General features: G+C 39.5%; 1 protein-coding gene across 14 annotated transcripts in view, besides 1 other annotated feature; it reads right to left on the bottom strand.

The window, feature by feature from the left end:
- Nucleotides 1-20,855, bottom strand: part of PKP4 (plakophilin 4) — a 224,478-nt gene that overhangs the window by 165,304 nt on the left and 38,319 nt on the right. Inside the window, exon 2 of one of the 14 annotated variants that reach the window (NM_001377220.1) lies at nt 16,045-17,286. The exons of the other annotated variants lie outside the window; for them this stretch is intronic. The gene's annotated coding sequence lies outside the window, so the exon portion shown is untranslated. The remainder of the gene's footprint in view (nt 1-16,044; nt 17,287-20,855) is intronic. 14 annotated transcript variants of the gene reach the window in all.
- Nucleotides 18,656-19,157: an enhancer, noted in NCBI's record as "NANOG hESC enhancer chr2:159353481-159353982 (GRCh37/hg19 assembly coordinates)". NCBI's record gives its function as "activates a minimal SCP1, AML or CMV promoter by ChIP-STARR-seq in naive H9 embryonic stem cells {active_cell/tissue: H9 hESC(naive)}" and the evidence as "EXISTENCE:reporter gene assay evidence [ECO:0000049][PMID:30033119]".

Below are 20,855 nucleotides of genomic sequence, written 5' to 3'. Positions count from 1 at the left end.
AGAACCTGTTTAATCTCACCTAACCCTACATCTCAACATTTATTAACCAGAGACCCTCATGTGTATAAAAAAAAAAAAAAAAAGATGGATTCTCACTCTGTCACCCAGGCTGGAGTACAGTGGCACAATCATAGCTCACTACAGCCTTGAACTCCTAGGTCACACGATCCTGCCACCTCAGCCTCTCTAATAGGTAGGACTATAGGCACACACTATCATGCCCAGCCCATTTTTAAATTTTCTGTACAGACAGGGTCTCAGTATGTTAGCCAGGCTGGTCTTGAACTCCTGGCCTCAAGCAATCTTCCCACCTCAGACTCTCAAAGTGTTAGGATTACAGGTGTGCACCACCAGGTCAGCCAACCCCCATTTTTTTTGAGGATCATCTATTAACATTCTGAGGAACATACTTTGGGAAATCCCACAATATGATAATTATTATCATTCATGAGCAAATGTAGATGGAAAGAGACATTGTTCCATCCTTCACAATTTGGCTTTCCTCAGCTTTTCCAATGATGTTTATCTATTAAGGAAAAACATTAATACTTTTAAGAAATGGTACAGAAAAATTAAAGCTCTTTTCAATAAAGATTCCTGCCACCAAAAACATGAAATTCTGTTTTTGCTGAAGGCTGAGTACCAATTATTTTCTTTTCCTTTTTTTTCAAGAGATAGGATCTTGCTATGTTGCCAAGGCTGGACTCAAACTCCTGGGCTCAAATAATTTTTGAGCCCTCAGACTCTCAAGTAGGCTGGGACTACAGATGCACATCACCATACCAGGCTTAAATTTCTTGACAACTTAGTTTGAAAGTAAATGAATAAATGATTTTCCAGAAAAAAAGCCCAGCCTACTCCAGGCCAGGTGCAAGTTTTAGCTGTTTTTTCATGCTTATTTCATGAACACTCACATGGAAATGACCTTGGTATACTGTACACTCTGGTACTTTGGTTGCACAGATAAATTCCCCCATCTGGGTTATACAACAATTAGCCTAAAACATGTCCAGTTTAGGACAGACGTTAATTTATAAGTTACTTTACTGAAAGCACAGGCAAAAAAAGCAAAGTCAACAGTTTTGAATTATAACATCAGAAAAATTGATTTTATACATGTTTAAAGTCTCTGAATAATGCTGATTTAAGCAATGATGCATTGAGTAATTTGCAATTTTTTTTTTTGAGACAGCGTCTCACTCTGTCACCCAGGCTGGAGTGCAATGGCACAATCTTGGCTCACTGCAACCTCTGCTTCCTGGGTTTAAGTAATTCTCCTGCCTCAGCCTCCTGAGTAGCTGGGATTACAGACGTATGACACCACGCCTGGCTAATTTTTGTGTTTATAGTAGAGATGGGGTTTCACCATGTTGGCCAGGCTGGTCTTGAACTCCTGACCTCAGGTGATCCACCCGCCTCGACCTCCCAAAGTGCTGGGATTACAGGCGTGAGCCACCACACCCGGGCTAATTTGCAATTTTTTAAAGTAGCTCTTTAGAGTAAAAGAAAAAAAACCTCTTGATTTTAAAAGATATTTTTTAAAAAGTACCATAGATTCTCAGTTGTGATAACATCCTTTCTTTCTGTCTGGTCTTCAGCAGGATAGAGGAATGATGGTTATCTCTCAGTCTCCTTTATTCCATTTAGAATCTGTGTGCTTAATACTATATTTCGTTTTCAAGGAGACAAATTTTCACACTTAACATCTCCAAACAGCTTTTTGAAGAAAGTACAAGAAAAAATAACAACCACTATAAAGTTTCTAGAGTTCTGTTGATCACAGATGGAGAACGCAATGGACTGGATGATAACTTATTTACTTTTCTGCAATCTAACCATACGCTCTTGGTTCAGTAATGGCAGGGACTCTTTTCATCTGGATTGCCACTGCATTCTCAGCAGATCCAGAAAGTGCCTGAAACACAGTAGGTATTCAAAAGTGTTTGTTCAATGGGAGCATGAAACAAACTGAGGGAAGATATGACAACATATCTGTGTTTTCAATGAAAACACATTTATACACCAGATGGTGTTAGGTTTTGTGGCCATTATGATGCTGAAAGAGCTGTCTAGCAGGAACAAAGGAGTAAAAATAGTGTGATAAATGCAAGAGTAAACAAGCATAAAATCTACCACCACAGAAGTGAGGGGAGCTCAACTTCGCATGGGAGAGCGGGGTCGTCAGGGAAGATGAGACTTACTACAAAGACAGAGAGGCATAAAACACCACAGCGTGCTGTGTTCAGAGAATGCCAACAGTCTAAAATTGGGGTGGAAGCGGGGTGGGGGAGAAAAAGAGAAAGAAAACTCTGGAGATGAGAAGACGAAGGAACAATAGTAAGTGCAAATAAAGACATGGATTGTCTCCACAGCCTTTAAATTTGCCTAAGATGACGGTGAAAGTTGAGGCAAAGAGTCAAACTGAATGAGGTGTCACTGGTCCCAGTGAAGGTGGTAATGTGACCTGGAGTCAGGAGAGTAAAAGTTAGATGGTGTCAACTTAGGAGTACTGGGGAAATGTCTGGAAAGCCCGGTGAGGAGCTAGGAAGCAACCGTGAGGAAAAGAAGACTTTAAAGACATCAAAAAGAAGAAATCTCCAACATCTGCAAAAGAAAAGAATGATTCTTCTCTCCCTCATGTGCCAAATCCCTGGGGGATACAATCATTAAATCGAATCCTAGGAAACCTTGTCCTTCCTTGTCCAAGTGGGCTACTTAAGGACACTAGGAAGATGTACTCGGGTATTGCCATCCTGCTCGCCTCAGTATCCTCACAGGCAGATGCATCAGGGAGCTGCTCCTCAAAACCTCAAGAGAAAGGAAACAAGGCTGCTTCTAAGAGAAGAAAATCAGAAAAATCAATAAAATGAGGATAAGACCGGAAATGGGTGGACGTAAACTAAGAATCAGTAAAAGTATCCCCCAAGAGCTCTAACCTATCATCAAGGAACAGACTCTTAACATGTAGACCAAAATCAGATTATGATTATGACTTATCACATGTGATTGCTGTCATAATTAGAGAAGAGGATAGTTAGTATGAAACACAGAAAAGGAAAACCCAGATTCCTGCCCTCCCCAGAGAAGTAAAAACAAGTGAGATTACAAGAAGGATCTTTGCTCTCAGGGACAGAGATGGTCCTGAGATGAACTCTTCTTGCAAACACATCTTCACCTTTGACAAGATTCTAAGTTCACAATGGCAACAGTCACCTGATCCTAGAAAGGAGAAGTGTACTTGGCAAATATGGACATTTTGATAATTATGAATTAATAAATTTGTGTTCTGGTTTATATATTACTCCAGGTTCTGAGAACTGTAAAACTGAGGACAGGCTCAGGACTGCAGTGACTTCAAAGTTCTGTGATGTGACTTTAGGGAGGTCTTGTCAGTACTGGTGGTTGTTCTCCACAGACAATAAGCTAGCTGATTATTCCAATTCAAAAATTTAAGAAAGGGTTAATATCAACCTATACAAATCAAAAGGTTGGTCATGATGGGTAATATACATCTATTAGTCACTTTAGAACATGATGAAAACAGTTACATGTTGATTCACAAGTGTACAGTGGGACAGCTGTTGGAGTAAGTGTTCCATGCCACATGGGCACACCACAGTTTGTCAGTCAGAATCTGCTCTAATTGACAGAGCTGGCTGAGAATGTTGCACATGCCAACCGTTCCACAACTCTCTACCACTGCTGTGCAATGGCTGTGCTCATGCACTGTATCACCACCACAAGCATGTTAATCTCTCTTCTTTCAATATTCATGGGTTTAAATCACCTTTTCCAAAACAATGCCTTAATTCTGAGATATTGTCTATGTCTAATAATCTGTTTACAGATTTTGTTTTCATGGCAGTTTATTTCCATTTCACCTAAAGTGCAATTTCAAATCCAAGAACCAAGATATACGAGTTTAGTATTCCAAATGATATATAGAAATAACTTAGGCAATTATTCCAATTTTGTATATTTTAAAATAAAGCCTGCCTCATTAAAATAATAATAGTTTGTGTGTTTCTAGTCCAGTCATCCCAAGAGCATAGCTGCATCCAAATGCATATGTAATAGAATTATCTTCAAATATGCTCTAAGCAACCAGAAATACTCTCTAGACAAGATATACCATAACACTTTAAAAAACTGAGTTATGACTCATGCCATACCATTCTTGCTGGCTTTAATACTACCCATTTTGAGGACAAAATGGTTTACTCAGCATTTTTTTTTTCTTAAACACCCAATGGGCTGATTCAGAGTAGGGTATCTTTCATGACTAGCCTGTGTTTGCATGTGCTTCTACTTCATGTGTAAAATTTAAATGCCATTTCATAGTCAGAGGAAGGTAAATAATCATATTCTACATGAAAGCTTGTACAAAAATAAAACTGCAAATCAAAAATGTTTAATTTTGAAAATTTATTCCTAATTGGTTGGCAGGGCTCTCCCTTTCTCTCTCTGATAAATACAATTTGTCACTGTTTTCTAGAAGGAAATTAAGTCAGGTGACAGTTAATTGAGCAAATATAGTACATCAGTTAAATACTAGATTAAATTTTTCAAAGTTAAAGAAAATTCTCCCATTTACTAATTTCTTCCAAAGGATAGAACATTTGTTTTGTAGTAATGGTAAATTATAGGATTCAAATAAAATTGTTTAACCAAAATCACACTTTTGATACATAATACACTATGTACAGAAAATAAAGAGCACCAACTTAACTTTTTTTTTTTGAGACAGAATTTCACTCTCCCCCCGAGGCTGGAGTACAGTGGCGCAATCTTGGCTCACTGCAACCTCCGCCTCCTGGGTTCAAGTGATTCTCCTGCCTCAGCCTCCCAAGTAGCTGGGATTACAGGTGTGTGCCACCACGCCCAGCTAATTTTTGTAGTTTTAGTAGATATGGGGTTTTGCCATGTTGGCCAGCTGGTCTTGAGCTCCTGACCTCAGGTGATCCGCTCGCCTTGGTCTCCCAAAGTGCTGAGATTTCAGGTGTGAGCCACCGCGCTCAGCCCCTGACGTGAGTTTCGGCAGAGCTCTGCATGCTCCCTCCTGCCCAGCTCTCTCCAGGGTTCCTCCTTCACCATACTCAGGCTCACAGAGGCCTTCCCCTACCACTCTGTGGTCTGGCACAACAGGAATTGAGCTGCACTTTGAAGAATGAGGAATGGTGACAGAAAAGTAGAGCAGATGCAGTGGTAGAGATCAATCACTAAAGAAATCTCGGGCAAAATCTAGGTGTAAATTTGGAAGGGGTCCCTCTGCATCTGCTTGTCCCCAAATGGGGGGCACAGTGGGCATTCTTGCTGAAAGCAGTTCCCTTTCAACATAGCTGCCTTAGAATAGGTCTATTCTCATGCCTTCCATCAGCTGCCTGGGCAGGGGAAGTGGACTCACCCCACCCCACCAGCCCAATCTGGCCCAGCCCTCCTGGAACTCCAGCCCTGCTCTTCTTATCATTTCAAAGCCCACAAGCAAGTGTCAAACAACTCCACTACCACTTGAATCACCAAATCATTTCTTCCTTTGACACACAGGCACTTTGCAAGTGCCTCATCCTTAAGAAGACATTCATTAATGTGTTCTGAAATTGCCTTTTTTCGATGACTCACTCCTCTAGTCCAACCAATCTAGTTCAAGTCTTAGCAACACGCAATGCTCATTTTCACCCACTTGTATTTGCTCTTTAAAATGCTCCCACATCTTTTTAGATTTAAATTTAATAAGACCAAGATCCCTGTCTTCTATGTTTGTATTTTCTATGATGTCTAACACATGTTCTGAGGCATTTAATAAAATGCCTGCTGACAGAACTGATTCTACTATTTGAGGAGTTGAAAATAGAAACTGGCACTATACTGCTACATTTACAGAAAAATGTTTAATATATTAGATCAGTCATATTCAGACACAAAGAACCACTGAACAGTCTGCTTCCTTAATGAAGTCTTTTGTTTATTAGTTGGCAGTAAAAATGTCAGAAAGAATCAGATTTCATTTTCAATCTTCCTACTTGGGTAACTTCTTTCCTTTTAGGTGAGGGTTTTGAATTTCTTAAAGGAAGAATTTTGGGAAATAACCACAAGTCAAGGAAGCTACATTCCATTAGCAGGAAATAACACAACCTATGTTACAATGTGGTCACACTGGTATTTCTTTTTTTTTTTTTTTGAGATGGAGTTTTGCTCTTGTTGCCCAGGCTGGAGTGCAGTGGTGTGATCTCGGCTCACCGCAACCTCCACGTCCTGGGTTCAAGCGATTCTCCTCCCTCAGCCTCCCGAGTAGCTGGGATTACAGGCATGTGCCACCACGCCTGGCTAATTTTGTATTTTTAGTAGAGACAGGGTTTCTCCATGTTGGTCAGGCTGGTCTCAAACTCCCGACCTCAGGTGATCCACTCGCCTCAGCCTCCCAAAGTGCTGGGATTACAGGCGTGAGCCACCGCGCCCGGCCCACACTAGTATTTCTATATCATCACCTCCAGACCTAGTGTACACAAAGGAGTACTTTTAATGTGACCCTATAAATCAGAGCTATAATTCCACCAATAATCTAGAAAGCTGTTAACAAAGTCTTGATTGTCTTATGTCTCAAAAAGTCTTGATTGTCTTATGTCTCAATATACTGAAACATCACCTGTTCAGATTAAATGAGCAAGAAAATGAAAGACTGGATTGTTTCATTTCCTCACAGACTGTTTTTATTGTTGCCAATAAAAATATAGATATCTGTTCTGATTTGATGAAAAGATCAAAGCAGCATTTGATAATTCTAAAAGTGAGTGGTAAAATACCTCAAAGATTTTAACTGTGTTTATATCTCTTAAAATATTGTTACTCTTAAAATTTTGCTTGATACTTCATTTATTCAGAGTGCAAAGATAATTTCAGTATACAAAATTGAACTGATTACAAATTCATAATCTATCAGAATCTAAGTCATATGTGATATAATCAAATCTCAAAAAATTAGTATTCTCAGTTTAAAATATTGTGATGTTCCCAAGATGCATTTTTGTGTCATTTTAATTTTTGGTGGGGGTGGGAACTTGCTTTTCATTAATCTGAAGACCATAAACTATAATTTGAAATTCACTGATAGGTAGATATTTCTCTTAGATACTAAAGAATATCTAATGACCTCCCAAAGATGGTACATTCACCAATAAAGTATGGCATTACAGAGTATAAATAATGATTAATAAATATTTAGAAACCCAGCAGTGCAAAGAAAGAGAACACATGTTAGATGACTTTCCACAGTCACCCCAGAACCTCTCTACAATTAAGGTAATGGTAGAAATATAAAATTTTGATGTCCAGCCTACTAGGATTATAAAGCCTGTGTCAACAGTACCATCTGTTTACGCAGAAGAATGTATGCTCACAATTCATAAGAATTACAGCAACATATGTAATTTTGAACATCAGAGGTATCATGATAAATAAGACATTTAATCTAACGTTTAGCAAAGATGGAGCAAGCTGGCACTTTGATGGAGTAGAAAAAGAAAGTGAAAAGGCAATCTGCTCATTTTACAGTACAATTCTCTACTCTTTCTGAGTTACTACTAGTACTCTAGGAACAGCTGGGTTTCTTGGTATCAATTTTCTACCTATATGTCAATTATAAACTATTACAAAACTCATGCTAGAATTGTCCATGGGAGTTAGGAACTGCTTAGGACACGCAGTGGTTTCTAACTTTCCTTCACTGGCATCTTCTTCTTCTTTTTTTTTTTTTTTTTTTTTTGAGACGGAGTTTTGCTCTTGTTGCCCAGGCTGGAGTGCAATGGCGTGATCTTGGCTCACTGCATCCTCTGCCCCTCCAGGTTCAAGCAATTCTCCTGCCTCAGCCTCCCAAGTAACTGGGATTACAGGTGCCTGCCACCATGCCCAGCTAATTTTTTGTATTTTTTTTTTTTAATAGAGACGGGGTTTCACCATGTTGGCCAGGCTGGTCTTGAACTCCTGACCTCAGGTGATCCGCCCATCTTGGCCTCCCAAAGTGCTGAGATTACAGGCGTGAGCCACTGTGCCTGGCCTTGTTTCTATTTTCAATGTCCTGGGTAGAATGTCTAAGGGATGAAATGGTCTTTGAGTGGGGGAAACTGAACATACCTTATTAAAGGAGAAAGGCAGCAGCCACCCTGTGGCAGAGCAGAGGTAAAGGAAGTCCACTCCTGGCAATGAATCCAGGAATATCTCAATTATGGAAAGCTCACCACGGAGAGCAACAGGGTCACATTACTCTACATTCAGCCAGCAGAAAAAATTTAGAGAGCTTTTCCTACACAGCAATCCACACTCAAGGAAATTCTGTGGACCCGGAGACCCCCCCACACTACCTTCTTATCAGACTGCTCAATTCAATGTATTAACTTGGTTCTTTTGAAATGTGTGAGAGAAAAAAAATAAGTTTGAGCAAGACATCAATGTTAACTTCAGTAATGTGATGGTCACAAAAGAACTGAAATTCTTTTTTAAATTTAAAAAAACAAACCAAGAAGTCAAGAGTCCAAGCCTCTGTCAAGACCTGTAATCCATTCTCCCTCCAAAAGCAGAGTTTTTCAAATGGGGAAAGGTAAGCAAGGGACTGAACTGGCAAAGTGCCAGATGAAACACATTAGAAAGAGTTAGCTAGAACAGTCTCAGGTTGCCATGACCGAGTCCTGGTTTCACGGTACTCTGTTGATCTTCACCACTGTGATATCTAAACCATCTGGCTTTGAATTTACCTTCGACTAACAGCTGCCATGGGCAGCTACTGAAATTACATCACAACAAAGCTACCCCATTAGCGGCATAAACTCATCTTCATACCTTCACAGTGGTGAGTCACATAGTGAAAAACACCCAGAAACAATTCTCTCTAGAGTTGAATGCATGTACCTTGATTCAGTATGTAATACCAGTCATTTATGGATCAATATATCTGCACCACTGCAAAATATATGGAGCAAGAGAGAGGTATAGAACATAAAAACATCGAAGTAATGGAAATGTCATCTTGGCCTTCAAAGCAAAAGAAAGAACAAAATAGTCAGTGGCTGGATGGAACAGGCTTTATGCTGACCAGGAGAATCACACGACTATTCTCCCAACCTTTCTTTCTATAATTCCATACTGTTATTTAGGAGAGACAAATAGTAGCAGCAACCTAATAGGAACACATCCTCTAAAGTGAGTGCAACCATGAATAACCAGAAACTAAATATGATCCTTTTAGACCCATCCATCCTAAAAGTGATATTGCCTCTATAGGAACTTCTTGGCAAAATGTCGTATGAACACTCTAGTCTGAGGGAATCGGGTAAAAGTTCCATTCCAACAATCCGTTCATATTCTCTTCAGAATTTTAGAATATTCCAAATTATTTCAGGATTTTAGAATATTCCAATTCATAAAGTTTTCCTAAAAGGTTAAAAGTAGGCATAAGTATAAATATCAAAGAGATTTATTGTGTCAATTCTTGATCAGATTTCAAAAATAACAGAACAGTATTTAAAGAGAGTAGAAACTATCACCAAAGAAGCCCTTGTACCAAATACACAATCAGTCAAGAAGCACTTCTGTCAGGAAGCCCTGAGGACTTTGACACATATCTAAACATTTTTGTGGCCAAATTATATGGTAGCAACATATACTTAAGGACTAATGAAAACAGCAGCTTCAAATAACTTTAGAAATGAGAAGGACCTTGGTGATCGTCTAACTGAGCTGTCTGCCAAATTCTTAATTTTGTTAATACCTTTACTTAAATACCCTTGGGAGGGAGCACTGATACAAAAAATTATAAAAACAGGAGCTGCTCCTCTTAGGCCTTCTTCATCTCCTCAACCACAACCTGCACTGAGGCTTCCTAAAGCTTGGAGGAAGGCCACTTAACATCAAGGACTGCACTGCAGAGCAAGGTGACTGGAGGCTCAAAGCCAGGGCATAACTTGTCCACAGTCTTGCTTCTGGGATCTTTCAATTGCCATGTTCAAGCAAAGCAACACAATTCTGAAGGAAACGCAGTCTGATCATCTAATTTGAAAGTACTTTCTTCATATTTACACAACCATTCTTTTTAAAATTCACATTTCACAGTATAGCTTGGAGGGAAAAAGTTCAGGCTTATTATTTTACAAATCTTTTACTTAAGGTTTCAAAACAGGGCTGTTGAAGCTCACAGTTGAGGGATGCGCCTCCTGTGTACTTATGGTCTTCTTCACCAGATCTGCTGGTGGAAAGGTGGGCACATTTCAGACCCCACCTCCTCCACACCGGTACTTCCAGGGACAGCAGCACTCTATCCCTCCCTGCAACTACCTCTACACTTGCAGTTCCAGGCCCTGGCATGCCCTCTCCCAGCTTTGTCTCTTCCTTCATTCTGCTGAGTCACGTCACCTAAGAAGCCTTTCTTGACCTGACTCTGATCCTGATGAACCCCCTTCCCTGCCACTCCAAAACCCTCACTTCTCCTATCACCCACCCTGCTTCTTTTCTCACCTTAATGCTTATCACCACCCCCTAATACATTACTAATCCTCCCTACCCCAATCTCAAGGAGAAAGCTACATGAGTACAGAAGAGACTTTGTTCACTGGTTTATCAACTGCAACAGCTGTCAGCAGGCAGCACAGTACAGGAGGAAAAACCTGGGCCTCGGAGAAGCCCTGGACAAATGACTAGGGTTCAATCTCCCGATTTCCCCTAAGCTCCAAGAGCTCCTTAGTGGTTGTCTTTGGCTTTCCTGATAGGCATACATTTGGCAGGTGGGTAGAATCTTAATACTCTGGTGATCACTTCTAGGCTACCCACTAAAAATTTTATTCTGGGTCCCTGAGCTCAGTTTTGATTTCATGTCTCCCAGTCATCAACAGGGTTTCCTCCCAGATATTCAGCATGCCTATGGCAGAACTCATACTCTTCCTATACCTGTATGGCTAACAAAGTACCTTTCCTATCAGTGCCTTAAGCCACTCAAAATAGTTATTAAATCAACTCTTACAACATCCTCATGAAGTAAGCAGGAGCAGAACAGAATTATTCTATAGCATGCTATCAGTGCCAGAACAGGAAAAGAACTCTTAATTTCCACCTGAAAACACTATTAAGCTCTTCTGTCCATTTTCTCCTTTGGAAGAAGCATCTTTGTGAAGACTGATACAAACAGATGGCTTGGCAATCTACCGTAACTCTTATCCATTATCTAAGCACAGGACAGCCATCAAAAACAGACAAAACATCACTGAAATTGCACTGAAATAGTTGGAAAATGAAGCACTAAAGAGATTTCAACATATTCAGTATCTTCAGAACTCTCATAATAAACTTTGTTAGAATGCAGTAACAGAGTATTGGAAATTCCTGTGAATTTGCAAGAAGGATATAAAAGTAGTATCTGATTTGCGATACATTTATATTCCAGATTAGGTAATAAAGTTGGTTTTTTTTTTAAGGATATTTAGAAGATCATAAGGCCAGCTTGAATAAATGAACCTGAATCAACCCTCAAAGAACTTTTAAGTTAATACTACCTATTCTAGTAAATAATTAAGTACTACTAACAAGAGAAAAGTGAAAACTTAGTTTTATGTTTAACTTGTCTCCTCTCTTCCTAATAGAAGGGCTAAATTGCCAGTGAGACAACCATCCTCAGGACTACAAGAATGAGAAGCAAAGAAATAGTAAAGATCAATAAATCAGATAATTCTCAGATATTCAAAGTTGGATCAATCAAGTTTTCAAAGAGTAACTATTACACTGCGGGGAAGTAGGACAATTGTTCATTTGTTCATTCCAGCATTTACTCAGTGTCCACTATGTGTCAGGCCCTGGGCCGTGTACTTCATAGGAACTTGTTTATATTGACTTCCTAATAACGCAATGTTGACAGTATAAAAGTCATTGGAATGCTCCCTTCATGACCTCTCAAATTATTAAAGTAGCAAATGTACATTGGTCATTTATCAAGTAATACAAGTCACATTGTCAGCACTAAATACATTTAAATCAAAGTAAGAAAAATGCAATATTATGAGAACAACAAGAAAGGGAAGTTAAAAAGGAACTTTAAATTTTGTGAACTATAAAATCTATGGCAAACGTTTTCTATGTTTTCTTATATCTCAAACTCATTACTCAAAAAAAAAAAAAAAAAAAAAAAGCCAGAATTTACCAGAAATCCTAAAACAGTAGTCTCAAAGTATGGTCCAGCACCATCAGCAATGCTCCAGACCTACTGAATCAGAAACTCTGGGTACAGAGCCCAGCAACCTGTTTTTAGCAATCTATCCAGGTGATTGTGGTATACATTCAAGGTTGACAAGCACTGTCCTAAAGTAACACATCATGAGGTAATACAACTGAACAAAGTGCTTTCAGAATTGTGTATACAATTAAAAGACAAAAAGGCAGTTTGGGTGGTGGGGTTAAAATAATTCTAAGTATATGAATGATACAAACTTTGCTCAGCTGCTAAAATTTCCAATAAAAAAGAAGTTGTTTAAAATACTTGGAATGTCCAAAATTTTAACATAAAATTTCAATGAGAAATGAAAGATCTTAAGTTTTGAAAACACAATTAAAAATTACAAGTGTATCTCCACTTTAAAACAGGATTTGATAAAATATGAGTTTATATATGAGAATATAACTTCATTTTACAAAAATATTATTTGCCCTCTTATTCATGAGACTTGCTTTGAGTAGCAAGTTTCCTTAGCCATGGAAGTATTTGTTTATAAATTATCAAAATATTTTTTAATCTTAGGTGAGGGAGGAAATTAGAGGCAAAAGGAGAGTCAAGGGACTCTGCACTGAAGCGTTAGAGCCAGCCACCAAGTAAATATGGATTGAATGAAAGATAACGCATTACTGGAATTCCTTTTGACATATCTTCTACATGAGTTGATATGCATCTATGAAATAGCAGAAGCATAGTTAAGTACAGCTAACAAATTGGATATTGCTTACATCATCTGACAAATGTTGCTTCCAAGAGCTTTTCCAATTCCTTCACATGTGTTATGGCTCAAACTTTTAATCAGGCTGAAGAATTCCTCCAAGGGGAGGTTCCTAGCTGGAATTATGCAAAACACATGTGGATAGCAAAGCTAAGAGAGGTATATTACAGGCCTAAAGTCTTTAACACTTCTTAGCAAGAATTCCCACAGCATTCTTAATATATAAATAGACGACCACAGAGCAGAAAGTCTCGAGGATTTGTGTCCAAAGTTTATTTTAAAACAGAGAGAACTTACTATTCTTTGCTTTTATGAATGTATACTTCTATTCTTACAAAAACCATCTCTAACACACTGTAAAAGTTGTACTAAATGTAAACAAATATTCTGCATCACCATTAACTCCTATCAGCATGCGGGTTAACCCAACTTTTGAACCACCTTTTGTGTCCATCTGCACCAATTGCAATTGGGCAGTTCCCTAAAGGTGACTTGGAAAATTTATGTTTTACAGACTAGTTGTGCTACAGGACTGGAAAGAAGTCAGGTGGTAGCAGAGATTTCAACTAGAAGTGACTGCAGCGATCCACATGGAAGGGGACCGGGAAGAAGGTGAGGGGTGATGAGAAGACACTTCACTTGGAGACAAGTATGTGTTAGAGAACTCAAGGTGAGGCCTTCTGTCACTGAAATTCAAAGCTCAAATGGATTTGAGAGACAATTTAAGCTAAAATTTCCAGCCCAGGGCACTAATTTGGGAATGAGGGCTCTAACTTCTTTGGAAACTTTTTGGGGATCCCTCCCCTACTGCGACTAGGAAGACTTCAATCTCAGAAAGACCAGAACCAGAATTCTTATGGACCCTAAGCTGCAAATGGAACTAGAGGTCACTTCTGTGTCCAGTGCTTTATTTCCAGGAACCATCATCAAGAACAGTTCCTAAAATATGATTGGCTCATTTGTTCTCACTAACATCTTGGGATTTCATGATCATGAAAAAAAATCATTTCATGATTTTTTAAAAATCCAAGTGGATGATCTACTCTTCAGCATGAATGCAATAAAGCAAAGTCAATTAACTGGATTTCATAATACTCTATTTTACTTAGATAAGAGCTTCCAGCCCTCAGAAAACCTTCAATAATGTTGTAAGCATCATCAAACACACTTTATAAATACTGTTCAGACACTGCCTGATGCCAACCACCATGCTCCTGAGGCACACATTCAGGAAAGCTGCTGAGGTCTTACACATGATCCTGAAAACTTAATGATACCAAGGACTGAAAAGTAGGAAGATCAAGGCCACCTGCCTTAAACAGGAAAACCTTACCTAGCCAAACATCTGCATGGTGATACTGTGGATGTGCAGACAGAAGACAGTATAAGAGTGAATCAAAATAGGCACACAATAGAGACTGAAATAATAATCATGCACCTTTCACAGATCTGTGAAATTTGGTGTGCCCTCACTGAGGCGTTTACATCTCCCTCTTCAACAAAACACTTAACATCAGATGGCATGGCAGGGGAGGCAAAGTCCTGGAGCACAGCCAGTTCACTGGCACTACAGCCACATTCACTGCAGTTGAGCTCAGCTGGCTGGGCATGTGCTGTGGATGGATGTCAGCAGGGCATGCAGGCAGCTGCTAGATGAGAAACTCAGGTAGGGAGGCTGTGCAGGGTAGGGAGAGAGAAATCTGTGAAGATGCACAAAAGCACAGCTTTGAGTAATGTGGCATCTGTGGAATGCTGAGAAACAGACACATATAAACCAACCTGGCATGTAGCAATTAGAAATAAAATGGTTCATTTTAAATGATGTCAGTGGATATCCAGAGAGGCCAAAAAGGCAGAGTTGCAAGGCAACAATAAATGTTGGGGTATATTGTTTTGTTTTTGTTAAGTGAGCGGTTACCATTGGTAATATTAGTCTTCTTGTTAATACATCTCAGAAGTCAAATGGACCACTGGAGGCTACAACCCAGAGAGTATTAAGGCCTGGTACAGCAAAATAGGGATGCCTGCCTGAAGGGAATATGGTGTTTGCAGTGTTGTTGATCTGGACCCTTCCTTAGGGAGTTTCCAAGATGCCTGTTGTCCCTGCCAAGTCTAATCTAAAATCCACCTGTGCCCAGGTCTAGCAGTCATGATAAATTTTTCTGGGTTTCTCAGGCCTCAAAGTAACTGCTCTATAAGAACGGCTCCTTCATTAGAGGCAGTATCAAGCAGCAGAGTAAAAGCAGGGAGGCTGGGCATCAAGATTCTGGGTCTTTCCTGCCCCTCTGCTATTCATTCTGCCCAAAACAAAGCTGCTAAGAGACGAGATAGCTTCTAAAGGCAAAACTGTCATAGGAGCTCAGAATATGAGGACTTTCTCACGAGTTCATGCCCTCTCCCAGATACTTGCATCTCTGAATTTACTTCCCATGCTCAAACCCCAAAGTGGACAACTCTGCAAAGGTAGCTCCATAGCTGTAGGCCAACAATGTAAGAGGGCTGACTCAATCTCATCCATGCTGTTGTGCGCTCTGTGGCTGAAGGAAGGCACGGGCTCTGAATTGGAAGAAACTTGTGGAAGAAAAATAGAGGCCATTGCCATCTGCAGGCTTATATTTTTACAAGGCATTGCTGCTAAGTTAAATAAGCACTGCATTTTCTGTTGCTCAGGGAAACAAAATATCTATAAACAGAGCAGGCTTTGTGTCTTTTCTTTATGGAACTTAGGTTTAATGAGGATGGGTTATCTTTATTTTTTGCTATTATACATGTTTATGAAAGAACAAAAATGTATTTGTGAGTCAAAAATGAAAATTTCTGCACACTTAATAATAAACCTTGACTGGTACAGTCAACAAGGTTGTCATTACCGGCAGTTATCAGGGTGACTGCTTTCTCTACAGAAACACTGGGGCCCTCATTTGCTACTGTTCTGTGGGTGTATGTGATGCACTGTGGTTAGGACATTCCAACTTCTTGCAGGAGAAAGAGAAATGATGGGACTAGTAAAAATAGAGTAATTAGAAACAAATATGCAAGATTAACCTGCCTTGATTATTCATGAATGTAAAATACACTAAATTACCTTATATACTGTCCATAAAAGTGCCAGCAACTTTGTATTGAGGATGACTTTCATGGCTGCTTTCTCTAGCATCAGTACACTAATTAAAACTTTCTAACATTTCTGGGAAATTATCTCACTTTCTGATACATGCTGTTGTGCATAACAGAATCAGAAGTTGCAAATACAAGTCTGGAGAGGTGAGACTTTGTTTAATTCATGCATCCTGTTCTCTAAACTCTGTCTATATTCTGTATGTCCCAACATCATTCATTTTATTCAAGAAGTCTAAGACAAATCTATGGGCAGGTGCAGTTTTTTATTTAGTCCAAGTATTACCAATTTTTTTTTCAGGAATAATTGACCTCATTTCTAACCGAGTGAATGAAGACTAAGTAAAATGGCATGACTTAGAACACGCTGCCATTGAAGCAAGGCCACTGTGCTTTCCAATGGCAGGAGGGGTCAGTGGTGCTCTGCTTGGCCACTCACACAAATATGTGTTCCTCCAGGCCAGTGGACACAGGCCCAATTATCCTTCAGGATTATCAGTACTCTGATCTCTGCTATTCTAACTCAAATGCAGACATGTGTTAAAAATGTTATCCAGCTAAAACCCAGTGGTGTTACAGTTTCTCTATAGCTGGAAACACAACTGGGTCACAAGGAACTAATTTCTCTTAAGAACAAGTGAGGAAACTGAGCAAGGTGGGTCAAAGGTGGTACTTCACTAACAGGTACTACATGGGGCAGGCTGTTGGGACTGCTCTGGGTTCAGGGTTGGGGGGATGCTGAACCCACTTTTGTTGGCTGATGTGCACCCTCAGGTAATGTATCCATCTTCAGTTTTGATATGAAAGGGGCCCATTTTTTAATTAAAAAAAATCAGTGGGTCATTTTATCTTATGTATTTAACATTAATCTTCACCAAGCCTTTCCCCTTACCACCATAGTATAATAAACTGCTCAGATTGTGGAGAATCTGAAGTAACTGCCATTTTGGACCACTGAAGGCACCCCTACCGCAGGCTCTCTCATTGGAGGGTATTTTACCGTTCTTCCTGAACATATTCTACAACTGTTTTGAATCCAGGAGCACTGAGCTAATGCACCAGCCCCGTGGGCTTAATCCTTAGGTGAGCACAGGAGTTCTGTTCTCTTCTGTGGCCACAGGCTGTGCTGTCACCACCATCAGCTGTGCTGCAGAAAGCTGTGCCTGGTTAGCAGAGGCAGAATTGAATGATCACCAAAAATCTCTCACCCCTGAAGGAAAAAAAAAAAAAAAAAACACTCACAACCCACCTAATGCAGGCACTGGGTCAACAGTATTATATGAACAAACTGAGCAGGAGTTTATCAGAGCAGAGCACAGAGGAGTCAAGGTTCTAGAACAGGCCAAGACTGTTTGCCCTATCAACCTATCTCCACTGTTTAACACTGCAGCATCCACAGACATTTAGAAGAAATATCCTGGGGAAGATGGCTATAAGGCCAACATCAGCAGAGTGCATGAGATTCCCAGTCATCACTACTACAAAAGGAATGCTGAAGAGAAAACTGAAGCCCAAGAAACAAAATTACATTTCACAACACAGTTAACCTTTTTGGAAAACTATGTAAAACTGATAACATGATAAAATGTTAACATTTTTAAAGCATCTCACAACAAAAAATCTGAAGCAAAGTACAGAATCCATCATGAGAATGTAGTGGACTATAAAATGCTTTTTATCTGGATAGGTTTTGATTTTCCCCATTCTCAGTCACCTAACAATTGTAATTTGATATTTACATTGACTAAAAAATGTGTGGAAAAGCTGGGCCTGGTAGCACATGCCTGTATTCCCAGCTACTTGGCAGGCTGAGGTGGGAGGATCCCTTGAGCTCAGGAATTCAAAGCCTGGGCAACATAGTAAGACCCCATCTCAAAAAAATAAAAATAAAAATAACAAAAAATAAAAATGTGTCAAAAGCTGCACAATTTAAAATCTGCCCATCCTCACATTGCCTCAGTGCAGGCATCCAATCTCCTTTTTCTAAAAAAATTTAGTCAGAAACAAGACTTGAGTTTTTCCCTTCCTCCATTATCCTCTCTTCATTCTTTTTCTACCACACTCCATATCTAAGCTCATACTTACGAAACACCAGATGCACCTGTGTCCCACCCTACACTTCTGTTTTGTGGATTTGTTTTGGGAGATTTTGACTGTATACCGAACAGGCAACATTTACTGGGATTTTTAAAGTTACAATGATATTTGAAATAAGATGTCTGGCCTCTACCTTCATCTCTGAAAAGTTAATGCTATAATAGCAACATCAGCAACCACCTATTGAATACTATGACTCATACAGTGCTAAGCACTTTAAAACATTATATCATTTAATCTTTAAGGCAAAACTGAGTTACACATTATCGCTGTTTCACAACTGAGTACACAGAGCCAGAGAAGTGAAATAACTTGCCTAAGGTTAATCAGCTAGTGACACAGTTTAAATTCAAGCCTGGGTCTACCTGATTCCTAAGCTGTTCACCACCACTCTGTGAGTTTCCAGAATAACTGACAGACTGTTTTTTAAAGCCAGATTTTAGAGAATTAAAAGAAAACAATTTAAGAGAATATAACTCCTAAATCAGTATCTATTTTCTCTGTGTGATTCTTATCTAGCATTGGGCAAGCAGAAGCAAGTGAACTAAAGAGAAAAAGCAGGAAAGAGGGAAGGTACCTTGAAGATAAAAACCAGGCAAAGAACCAAGAGGAAAAGGCAGGCCACTCAAAATGCAAATACAAATGCAAATACTGCGTAACACTGAAAGTATTGTTAGAATATCACTCTAGTCATTTAAAAATACATAGGAGCTTCCCGATAGTTGAATGCATGGAGGTTCCTGCAGGGTGGAAGCTCTGTTCCCCTTCCCTGACACCTGGCCCTGTGGATCTTTTCATCTCTAGGTGAGGCACTGTCCAATGGATAGCCTAAAGAACCTGATTCATCTTTAACCAAGCTGAATTGCTTCAAGTTCCTAGAGCTGAAGAATCGTGGCACACCTGTATAATACCAAATTATTCTTTTAAGGAAATCAACATATCACTAAAAATGCATAGAAAAAAATCTGTTAGTGGGACTTCAGACCATTAATTTTTTTCAAGATATAATGAAAAAGGCAACTTATCAAGAGTGCAGGAACCTAAATGTCTTTTTACAGGAAGAATTCATAATAGGTTATTTGAGAGTTTCCTTCATCAAGAACCACCTACCCAGGAGGATAAAGAAGAGACAGAGACAGAGAGAGTGAGACACACAGACACACACACACACACACACACACACACACACACACGGAGAGAGAAGGCGAGAGAGAGTGAGAGCGAAAGAGAGACACTGACTGAGACTCTCAAATTTCTCAGTCAGCTTGCTTTGTTCTGAAATAAGAACATTTTGGGGACACAGGTAAACATGTGAAGGCTGAATTCTGGAGAGACAAAAGACAAGATTCTGGTTAAAAGCAAGAAATTAAAAACTTCTGAACTTGCACAGGTGAAAATGAAAAAGGAGATAGATATTTCAGACCAGAGGACAGATGGATGTGGACCATGAGGAAAAAGAATGTTTACAGGAGACTGATCTACCACCACTTTTGATTTTTAGTACACTCACAAGAGGGGTGCACCAACAAATTCACAGAATCGATAAATTCAATCCTTACAGCCAAGGCCTTCAATTTAAATGAATATACACTGCTAAAAAAGAAAATATAACATGGCATTTATTAGGTAAACTATCAAATGTTTATTTAAATTTCTATTTAAAATATTTTTGGGCCAGGCGCAGTGGCTCAAGCCTGTAATCCCAGCATTTTGGGAGGCTGGAGCAGGTGGATCACTTGAAGCCAGGAGTTCCAGACCAGCCTGACCAACATGGCGAAACCTGTCTCTACTAAAAATACAAAAAATTAGCTGGGCGTGGTGGCACGTGCCTGTAGTCCCAGCTACTCAGGAGGCTGAGGTGGGAGAACTGTGTGAACCCAGGAGGTGGAGCTTGCAGTCAGCTGAGATTGCGCCACTACATTCCAGCCTGGGTGACAGAGTGAGACTCCATCTCAAATAAAATAAAATAAAATATTTTCAAGTAAAAATGTATACAAAAAAGAAAATATATGTTAAAACTGATATTGATTTACCATAATGAAAGGTTAAAAATATATACATATATACCCCTCTTATTTATTTATTTATTTATTTATTTATTTATTTATTTATTTATTTAGAGACAGAGTCTTGCTCTGTCGCCCAGGCTGGAGTGCAGAGGTGCAATCTCAGCTCACTGCAACCTCCGCCTCCTGGGTTCACACAATTACCCTGCCTCAGCCTCCTGAGTAGTTGGGATTACAGGCACCCACTACCACGCCCAGCTAATTTTTGTATTTTCAGTAGAGTCGAGGTTTCACCATGTTGGCCAGGCTGGTCTTGAACTCCTGACCTCAAGTCAGGACCTCCTTGGCCTCCCAAAGTGCTGGGATTACAGGTGGGAGCCACGGCACCCGGACACTCCTTTTTTTTTAAACATAGTTATTACTAATGGCTACAAAAAAATTCATTGTCTGATGTACTAATATTTAGAATTTTTGAGAGTATAAGCGACTCAGCAGAAAACAGTTTTTGTCCACTTGTCTGATTATTTCCTTATATAGCACATTAGAAGTGATGAGCCAAGTGAACTTTCTGGGCTTTGTTGTTTTTTTTTTTTTTTAACTCTCCAGAAGAATTGTAGCAATGTGAGTCCAACTTGCCAACGCTCATCCACATGAGGTTTTATCATTCTTTCCAGTG

This window comes from Homo sapiens, chromosome 2 (genome assembly GCF_000001405.40).
Source record: "Homo sapiens chromosome 2, GRCh38.p14 Primary Assembly".
NCBI lineage: Eukaryota > Metazoa > Chordata > Mammalia > Primates > Hominidae > Homo > Homo sapiens.
Note: the sequence above shows the minus strand (reverse complement) of the source record. Positions and strands in the feature narration are given on the sequence as shown.